Consider the following 10,754-nt stretch of genomic DNA (forward strand, 5'->3'; position numbering starts at 1 on the left):
CATCTAATGATATTTGTGAGAAATCTTTATTTTAGACTGCAGTATACCTTCTTCACTAAAAGTTCTTTCCAGACTGCTTAGCCCCTCTCTCATTGATATGTAGGAAATAGTTACTCTCATCTGAGGACATGTCTGCCATCTCAAATCTCCTGCTTCTGCTATCTCTGAGTCATGATGAGTGCACAGCTTTGCTGCTTCCCCAAATTCTACCCAGAAGTGCAGAACTGTCCTATTCTGATATACATTTTCCTAAAAGTTTTTGTTTCACGTTTTTTGGATGTATATTTCCCCCTACTCCTTTCTGCATGCTGTAGGCATTACCCTGGGAGCAAGTGGAGGTGGGAAGGATAAATGGAAGAAATTTAGCTCTCTTTATCACTAGCTTACAACAATTTCCCAACAAGATATTACTTTTATTTCCTCATAGTCTGTGATATTCTCAGTTTCTTACGTCTGATATAAACATTATTTATTTTCACTTCAGTATGCTGGTTTTGATATTGAAAAAAAAATGTTTGTTTTTCCAAACTCTTTTTTCAGTAAAAAGTCAAGGATAAGCAGTTTTGTATTCTATCGTGCTATTCATTCACTGTTATATTGAGAGAGAAAAAAGATATGAGCAAACTGAACATGGAAGAGGAAATGAAAAGGATGTTTAAAAGCAAATAATCAATTAACATTGTAAATATTATCCTGCTGAAAATCAGCACTTTGCTACCAGCCAGCAAAGTAATCTGAAGAGAATAGAGATTAATTTTGTTCAGGGGAATTGTAGTGATAGTGAAACAAAAGGTGATACGGAAATTATTATATTTAAAAAATTCTCTAGAAAATTAATTTCAAATACAAAGCAAATCAAATATCTTTGATAATATATTTTAAATCAAGGAGATGAATGCATGTTCAGAATTAGATAGGGCTTTTGGCCAATGTTTTCAACTTTCTGTCTCAAATTTGGAAATATGGTTCAATTCTGATTTTACATCTTTTTTTTTTTTTTTTTTTTTTTGCCCCTTTACCAACTTGTTCTGGAAATAAACAAATGTTCCTAGCTTAATATATAGACTCTTCCTGGAGGAAGGGAAGAGGTTGTGTGGCACAAAGCTAGAAGAAAGAGAAAATGTGTGACAAGAGAAAGAAAGATTTGACATTTGTACCAATGTGTGAAATTACAGGAAATAAAAAATATAGTAGTTGCATCATTTCAAATGATATCTCCACTTCAACTTATTTGCAAGAATATTTTTAAATGCTCATTTTATAGCTTTCAAAGTGAAGGCATTTTTATATTTAGTATTTAAAAATCATAGTGTGCATTTTTGATGTTCAGTTCTTTGTTTTCTGCTAATGTGATGTATCTGAGTTTGTGACTGCTGTGGTAATACACACAATGAAAAGCCTAGAGAGGTTTCATGCGTGTCCCTGTGAAGAGACCACCAAACAGGCTTTGTGTGAGCAACATGGCTGTTTATTTCACCTGGGTGCAGGCGGGCTGAGTCCGAAAAGAGAGTCAGCAAAAGCAGATAAGGGTGGGGCTGTCTTATAGGATTTGGGTAGGTAAAGGAAAATTACAGTGAAAGGGGGTTTGTTCTCTGGAGGGCAGGAGTGGGGGTCACAAGGTGCTCAGTGGGGGTGCTTTTTGAGCCAGGATGAGCCAGGAAAAGGACTTTCACAAGGTAATGTCATCACTTAAGGCAAGGACCGGCCATTTACACTTCTTTTGTGGTGGAATGTCATCAGTTAAGGCGGGGCAGGGCATATTCACTTCTTTTGTGATTCTTCAGTTACTTCAGGCCATCTGGGTGTATAACTGCAAGTCACAGGGGATACAATGGCTTGGCTTGGGCTCAGAGGCCTGACATTCCTGCCTTCTTATATTAATAAGAAAAATAAAACAAAATAGTGTTGAAGTGTTGGGGTGGCAAAAATTTTGGGGGGTTGGTATGGAGAGAGAATGGGCGATGTTTCTCAGGGCTGCTTCAAGCGGGATTAGGGGTGGCGTGGGAACCTAGAGTGGGAGAGATTAAGCTGAAGGGAGGTCTTGTGGTAAGAGGTGATATTGCAGGGATGTTAGAAGAAATATTTGTCATATAGAATGATTGGTGATGGCCTGGATACAGTTTTGGATGAATTGAGAAACTAAATGGAATAACAGAAGGAGAAAAACAGGTATAAAAGGTCTAAGAATTGGGACGACTCAGGATATCTGATTAGAGAGTGCCTAAGGAGATTCAGCATAGTCCTGCCAGCAAAGATTATTTATTTACTTCAAGAGTTAAGAGTGGCAGTTTGGGGATAGCACCAGAAGATATCAGCTGTGATGGCTTGGAAAAACAGTGTAAACCGGCAGTGTAAACAAGAGCAGGGCATGTATGAGTAGTTGAGAATGGTGAATAGGAGTGTGACTAGACAGAAGATAGTAGGGATGACAAGTTTTTTGGGGCACAGTCTAAGTTGGTCTGGTGTCTGGAATGAGACTGGGGCCTAATAAAAAGGAGCGTCTATACAGGAGCTTAAATGGGCTGTACCCTGTAGCATTCCGAGGACAGGCCTGAATTCTGAGGAGGAAAAGTGGTAAAAGTATTGTCCAGTCCTTTTTGGTGGCTGAGCTTGGTGAGGTGTGTTTTTAAAAGACCTTTAGTCCATTCTACTTTTCTTGAAGACGGAGGACCATAAGGGATATAAAGGTTTCACTGAATACTAACAGCCTGAAAAACTGCTTGGCTGATTTGACTAATAAAGGCTCGTCTGTTATCAGACTGTATTGAGGTGAGAAGGCTAAACTGAGGAATTATGTCTGACAGAAGGGAAGAAATGACTGCGATGGCCTTCTCAGACCCTGTAGGAAAGGACTTTACTTATTCAGTGAAAGTGTCTACTTAGACTAAGAGGTATTTTAGTTTCCTGACTCGGGCATGTTGAGTAAAGCTAATTTGCCAGTCCTGGGTGGGGGCAAATCCTCGAGCTTGATGTGTAGGGAAGGGAGGGGGCCTGAATAATCCTTGAGTAGTAGTAGAATAGCAGATGGAACACTGAGAAGTTATTTCCTTGAGGATAGATTTCCACGATGGAAAGGAAATGAGAGGTTCTAAGAGGCGGGCTAGTGGCTTGTACTATAGCATAACCTGCCTTTGCTGGTGTGTGGTGATTAGGCCTGGTGGAACCGCCATCAATAAATCAAGCGTGATCAGGGTGAGGAACAGGAAAGAAGGAAATATGGGGAAATAGGGTGAATGTCAGGTGGATCAGAGAGATACAGTCATGGGGGTCAGGTGTGGTATCAGGAATAATGTGGGAGGCCGGATTGAAGTCTGGGCCAGGAACAATGATAACTGTGGGTTTTAACAAAGAGTGAGTACAGCTGAAGGAGCCGGGGAGCAGAAAGTATATGCGTCAGGTATGAGGAAGAAAATAGATTTTGGAAGTTATGAGAAATGTAGGGAGTGAGTTGAGCATAGTTTGTGATTTTGAGGGCCTCTAAAAGTATTAAAGCAGCAGCAGCCACTGCACGCAGACATGAGGGCTAGGCCAAAACAGTAAGGTCAAGTTGTTTGGACAGAAAGGCTACAGGGTGTGGTCCTGGCTCTTGTGTAAGAATTCTGACCGCACTAACCATGCCTAGGAAGGAAAGTAGTTGTTGTTTTGTAGAAGGTGCTGGGGTTTGAGAGATCAGTCCCACACGATTGGCAGGGAGAGCACATGTATTTTTATGAGAATTATGCCGAGATAGGTAACAGATGAGGAAGAAATTTGGGCTTGATTGAAGTAATGGGGGCTGTCTGTGAAGCTTTGCAGCAGTACAGCCTAGGTAATTTGCTGAGCTTGATGGGTGTCAGGGTCAGTCCAAGTGAAAGCGAAGAGAGGCTGGGATTAAGGGTGCAAAGGAATAGTAAAGAAAGCATGTTTGAGATCCAGAACAGAATAATGGGTTGTAGAGGCAGGTATTGAGGATAGGAGAATATATGGGTTTGGCACCACGAGGTGGATAGGCAAAACAATTTGGTTAATAAGGTGCAGATCCTGAACTAACTTGTAAGGCTTGTCTGGTTTTAGGACAGGTAAAATGGGGGAATTGTAAGGAGAGTTTATAGGCTTTCAAAGGCCATGCTGTAGCAGGCGAGTGATAACAGGCTTTAATCTTTTTTAAAGCGTGCTGTGGGATGGGATATTGGCGTTGAGTGGGGTAAGGGTGATTAGGTTTTAATGAGATGGTAAGGGGTGCATGATCGGTCGCCAAGGAGGGAGTAGAGTTATACTTGTGGGTTAAGGTTGGGGAATACAAGAGGAGGACGCAAAGGAGGCTTTGGATTGGGAAGAAGGGAGGCAATGAGATATAGCTGTAGTCCAGGAATAGTCAGGGAAGCAGATAATTTAAAGTGTCTCAGCCTAATAAGGGAACTGGGCAGGTGGGGATAACGAAAAAGGAGTGCTTAAAAGAGTATTGTCTAAGTTGGCCCCAGAGTTGGGGAGTTTTAAGAGGTTTAGAAGTCTGGCCGTCAATACCCACAACAGTTATGGAGGCAAGGGGAACAGTCCCTTGAAAAGAAGGTAATGTGGAGTGGGTAGCATCTGTATTGACTAAGAAGGGGACGGGCTTACCTTCCACTGTGAGAGTTACCTGAAGCTCGGCGTCCGTGATGGTCTAGGGTGCTTCCGAGGCGATCGGGCAGTCTCAGTCTTCAGCCGCTAAGCTGAGAAGATCTGGGAAGGAGTCAGTCAGAGAGCCTTGGGCCAGAGTTCCAGGGGCTCTGGGAGTGGCTACCAGGTGAGTTGAACAGTCCGATTTTCAGTGGGGTCCCACACAGATGGGACAAGGTTTAGGAGGAATCCCGGGCTGTGGGCATTCCTTGGCCCAGTGGCCAGATTTCCGGCACGTGTAGCAAGCTCCTGGGGGAGGAGATTCTGGAGGAACGCCTGGCTGCTGCGGTTCAGGCGTTTGGAAGTTCTTGTGTGCTGGAGATGTGGCTGGGGTTTGTCTCACAGTGGAGGCAAGGAATTGCAATTTTTTCTGTTATTGTACACCTTGAAGGTGAGGTTAATTAAGTCCTGTTGTGGGGTTTGAGGGCCAGATTCCAATTTATGGGGTTTTATTTAATGTCGGGAACAGATTGGGTAATAAAATGTATATTGAGAATAAGACAGCCTTTTGACCTTTTAGGGTCTAGGGCTGTAAATCGTCTCAGGGTTGCTGCCAAACGAGCCATGAACTGGGCTGGATTTTTACATTTGATGAAAAAGAGCCTAAACGCTTCTGATTTGGGATAAAGAAAAAGGAGCATTAACCTTGACTATGCCTTTGGCTCCAGCCACCTTTTTAAGAGTAAATTGCTGGGCAGGTGGGGGAGGGCTAGTCACAGAACGAAACTGTAAGCCCGACCAGGTGTGAGGAGGGGAGGCGATAAAAAGATTATAGGGTGGAGGAGCGGAGGCTGAGGAAGAATTGGGACCTAGCTCGGCCTGGCGAGGAGGGGAGAGGTCAGATGGGTCTGTAGAAAAGGAAGATTAGAAAGACTCAGCGATGCTTGGGGTTGGGACTGAGGGGACAGGCGGGAGGGAAAGAAGGAAGATTTGGGATGAGTTGCACTGGGCACAGAGACTAGGAAGGGACTGATGTGTAAAAGAATGCCTGGACATCAGGCACCTCAGACCATTTGCCTATTTTACGACAAGAATTATTTAGATCTTGCAGGATGGAAAAATTCAAAGTGCCATTTTCTGGCTATTTGGAACTACTGTCGAGTTTGTATTGGGGTCAAGCGGCATTGCAGAAGAAAATAAGGCATTTAGGTTTTAGGTCAGGTGTGAGTTGAAGAGGTTTTAAGTTTTTGAGAACACAGGCCAAGGGAGTAGGAGGAGGAATGGAGGGTGGAATGTTGCCTATAGTGAAGGAAGCAAGCCTAGAGAAAAGAGAGAGTAGAGAAATGGAGAGAAGGGGTTTGGAGGTTCTTATCTTCCAGAAAAGTGGGAAAAGGGGTTGGGGCGCACAGATAAGAGGTTGGGGTGTGGAAATAAGGGATGGGGTGCAGAAATAAGGGGTTGGGGCATGGAAATAAGGGGTCAGGGCATGGAAATAAGGGGTTGGGGCACAGCAATAAGGGATTGGGGTACAGAGATATGAGGTTGGGGTACAGAAATAAGGGATTGGGGGTTCTTGCCCCCTAGAAAAGTGGGACTTGCCACTAAGGGTGAAAGAGAGGGGGTTGAGGGGTACTTGCCCCTCCCTCAGAAAAGCCGGACTTGCCGCTAAGGGTGAAGGAGAAGAGGTTGAGGGGTACTTGCCCCTGCCCCAGGAAAGCAGGACTTGCCGCTAAGGGTGAAGGAGAAGGGGTTGAGGGGTACTTGCCCCTTCCCCAGAAAAGCAGAGAAGGGGTAGAGACAAGGAGAGAAGGGGTTGGGGTACTTGCCCCTTCCCCAGAAAAGTGGGACTTGCCGCTAAGGGTGAAGGACCAAGACAGGCATCCCTGCGTGGTCTGACACCTTTGAAATGTGGGTGAATAATCAGAGAGGTGTCCCTGCAATGATTAAACACCAAGGGAAGGCTGCCTTCCCAGTCCGTGACTGGCGCCAAAGTTTTGGGTCCACGGATAAAACATGTCTCCTTTGTCTCTACTGGAAAATGAAAGGAATTGAAATTAAGAGAAGGGAGAGATTGAAGTGTGGCCCCAAGACTGAAAGGAGAAAGAGGTTGAGGGATAGTGAGAGAGGTTGGAGAAGAGATTAAAAAGAGGCCGCTTACCGGATTTGAAATTGGTGAGATGTTTCTTGGGCTGGTCGGTCTGAGGACCTGAGGTCGTAGGTGGATCTTTCTCATGGAGCAAAGAACAGGAGTACAGGGGATTGATCTCCCAAGGGAGGTCCCCCAGTCCGAGTCACGGCACCAAATTTCATGTGCGTCCGTGTGAAGAGACCACCAAACAGGCTTTGTGTGAGCAACATGGCTGTTTATTTCACCTGGGTGCAGGCCGGCTGAGTCCAAAAAGAGAGTCAACGAAGGGAGATAAGGGTGGGGCTGTTTTATAGGATTTGGGTAGGTAAAGGAAAATTACAGTCAAAGGGGATTTGTTCTCTGGCAGGGAGGAGTGGGGGTCACAAGGTGCTCAGTGGGGGTGCTTTTTGAGCCAGGATGAGCCAGGAAAAGGACTTTCACCAGGTAATGTCATCACTTAAGGCAAGGACCAGCCATTTATACTTCTTTTGTGGTGGAATGTCATCAGTTAAGGCGGGGCAGGGCATATTCACTTCTTTTGTGATTCTTCAGTTACTTCAGGCCATCTGGGCGTATAACTGCAAGTCACAGGGGATGCGATGGCTTGGCTTGGGCTCAGAGGCCCTACAAGAGGAATATGTAAAAAATTTCTGACACAAAGTTCAGATATGGCTTCTAAACATCCTGGTATTTACTACAAATATGCAGAAGTTACCTTAGCCCTTCCTGGTTATAGGGGTCTGATATGGTTTGGCTGTGTCCTCACCCAAATCTCATCTTGAATTTTAGCTCCCATAATTCCCACATGTTGTGGGAGAGAGCCAGTGGGATATAATTAAATCCTGGGGGCTGTGGCCCCAGTACTGTTCTCATGGTAGGGAATGAAAAAGTCTCACAAGATCTGATGGTTTTAGAAGGGGAAACCCCTTTCACTTGGATCTCAATCTCTCTCCTGTATGCTGCCATGTAAGTTGTGCCTTTCAGCTTTTGCCATGATTGTGAGGCCTCCCCAGCCACGTGGAGCTGTGAGTTCATTAAACCTCTTTTTCTTTATAAATTATCCCATCTCATGTATGTCTTTATCAGCAGCGTAAAAAACAGACTAATGCAGTAAATTGGTACCAAGAATGGAGCTCTACTAAAAAGTTACCTGAAAATGTGGAAGCGACTTTGGAACTGGGTTACAGACAGAAGTTGAAACAGTTTGGAAGGCTCAGAAGAAGACAGGAAAATATGGAACAGTTTGGAACTTCCTAGAGATTTGTTAAATGGCTTTGAACAAGTTGCTGATAATGACACGGGCAATGAAATCCAGGCTGAAGTAGTTTCAGATGGAGATGAGGAACTTGTTGGGAACTGGAGCAAAGGTGACCCTTTTCTATGTTTTCATAAAAAAACTGGCAGCATTTTTGCCCCTGCCATAGAGGTTAGTGAAACTTTGAACTTGAGAGAGACGATTTAGAATATCTGGCAGAAGTAGTTTCTAAGCAGCAAAGCATTCAGGAGGTGACTTGGTTGCTGGTAAAGGCACTGTTTTAAAAGGGAAATAGAGCCTAATACTTTGTAAAATTTGCAGCCTGACAATGCAATAGAAAAGAAAATCCCATTTTCTGAGGAGAAATTCAAGTCAGCTGCAGAAATCTGCATAAGTAATGAGAAGCCCAATGTTAATCACGAAGACACTGTGGAAAATGTCTCCAGGGCATATCAGAGACCTTTGCAGCAGCCCCTCCCATCAGAGACCCAGAAGCCTATGAGGAAAAAAAAAAAAAAAAAACGGTTTCCTGGGCCAGTCCCAGGGTCCCTCTGCTGTGTGTAGTCTAGTGACTTGGTGCCCTGCATCCCAGCCACTCCAGTCACGACTTAAAAGGGTGAAGGTGGCCGGCAGTGGTGGCTCACGACTGTTATCCCAGCACTTTGGGAGGCCGAGGCGGGCAGATCACGAGGGCAGGAGATCTAGACCATCCTGGTTAACATGGTGAAATCCCGTCTCTACTAAAAATACAAAAAAATTAGCCACGTGTGGTGGCGGGTGTAGTAGTCCCAGCTACTCGGGAGGGAGGCTGAGGCGGACTAATGGCATGAACCTGGGAGGTGGAGCTTGCAGTGAGCAGAGATCATGCCACTGCACTCCAGCCTGGGCGAAAGAGCGAGGCTGCATCTCAAAAAAAAAAAAAAAGGGGCCAAGGTAAGCGCTGGTCATGGCTTCAGAGGGTTCAAGTCCCAAGCCTTGGCAACTTCTTCTTGGTGTTGAGGCTGTGGGTGCACAGAGGCTCTCCACTGAAGCACTGCCTAGTGGAGCTGTGAGAAGAGGGCCACTGTCCTCTAGACTCCAGAATGGTAGATCCACCAACAGTTTGCACCATGCAACTGGAAAAGATGCAGACACTCAAACCCAGCCCTTGAAAGCATCTGGGAGCTGTACCCTGCAGGTCACAGGGGCAGAGCTGCCCAAGATCATGGGAATCCACTTCTTGCATCAGCATGACCTGGATGTGAGACCTGGGGTCCAAGGAGATCATTTTGAAGCTTTAAGATTTAACTGCCCCACTGGATTTCGGACTTGCATGGGGCCTGTAGCCCCTCGATTTAGGCCATTTTCTCCCGTTTGTAATGGCTGTATTTACCCAATGCCTGTATCTCCATTGTATCCAGGGAGTAACTAACTTGCTTTTGATTTTACAGGCTCATAGGTGGACGAGACTTGCCTTGTCTCAGATGAGAGTTTGGACTGTGGACTTTTGAGTTAATGCTGAAATGATTTAAGACTTTGGGGGACTGTTGGGAAGACATGATTGATTTTGAAATGTGAGGACATGAGATTTGAGAATGGCCAGGGGCAGAATAATATGGTTTGACTGTGTCCCCACCCAAATCTCATTTTGAATTATAGCTCCCATAATTCCCATGTGTTGTAGGAGAAACCCACTGGAAGATAATTGAATCATGGGCGCAGTTTCCCTCACACTGTTTTGTGATAGTGAATAGATCTCACAAGATCTGATTGTTTTATAAGGGGAAAACCCTTTCACTTGGATCTCATTATCTCTCTTGTCTATCACCATGTAAGACATGGCTTTAGCCTTCTGCCATGATTATGAGACTTCCCCAGCCACATGGAACTGTGAGTCCATTAAACTTCTTTTTCTTTATAAATTACCCAGTCTCGGGTATTTCTTTATCAGCTACATAAAAACAGACTAACACAAATTCCAAGTGAGCTTAGTAGCATACCTTTTTTTAGCCAAAAACTGTAAGAAATGCAGAAATAATTTGAGAAAGCATAAATAAAGTTATAATGGGAAACATAAAATCTTCTTCAGATTTACCAATTGTAGTGTATCACAAATCGAAAACATAATAAAAAGTAAAAACAGAAAATAGTACAATTGAGCTTTAAATCTTTCAAATCCAGAACATATATTTTTGTAAGTTTTTGTAATGTATACTAAAATTATCAAATAGTTAACCACAAAAAATCTTAAAACTTATAATAAGTATTCATACAGTCTTTTTTCATCTTTAATGAGGTAATGAGGAGTCCTAAATGACCAGGTGTTATTCATAGCTTTGAGTTTATTGAAATTCTTACAACTCTGTTTATTAGATATGCACTCATATTCCTAATTCAAAATCAGGATCTCAAATTTGCAGAGCCAGAAGTTGTGAGGATTTAAGCAAAAATTCTACAGGTGAGCCATAGGGACTTACGAAGAGCAGGGGCAATATTACTCCTGAAGTCACAAATTCTAGTAGTTTGGGACACAGCACTATATTTTAGTTCATATACTGCATCTTAGAGGAAAACATCCAAACACACAGGGTCTTGTTTCCAGTCTGGCAAATTAACTCAGATTTTATAAGACATTCTACCATTTTACTAGGTTGGCTACTTCTAAATAGTGAGATATCTACCACAACCAATAAGTCTCAAGATTGTACATTCATATCTTATTTGCTAGGGTGCTAAAATCATCTGAATCCGACTTCCACCTGGTGGTTGTTGGTGGCTTTCATCTGGGCTGTCAACTTTTCTCTACTTGGACTT

The 10,754-nt window shown here is 43.8% G+C and overlaps 1 annotated feature.

Moving 5' to 3' along the window:
* Positions 968 to 1,803: an enhancer, noted in NCBI's record as "OCT4-NANOG-H3K27ac-H3K4me1 hESC enhancer chr13:89164631-89165466 (GRCh37/hg19 assembly coordinates)". NCBI's record gives its function as "activates a minimal SCP1, AML or CMV promoter by ChIP-STARR-seq in naive and primed H9 embryonic stem cells {active_cell/tissue: H9 hESC(naive and primed)}" and the evidence as "EXISTENCE:reporter gene assay evidence [ECO:0000049][PMID:30033119]".

Source organism: Homo sapiens, chromosome 13 (assembly GCF_000001405.40).
Source record: "Homo sapiens chromosome 13, GRCh38.p14 Primary Assembly".
Lineage (NCBI taxonomy): Eukaryota > Metazoa > Chordata > Mammalia > Primates > Hominidae > Homo > Homo sapiens.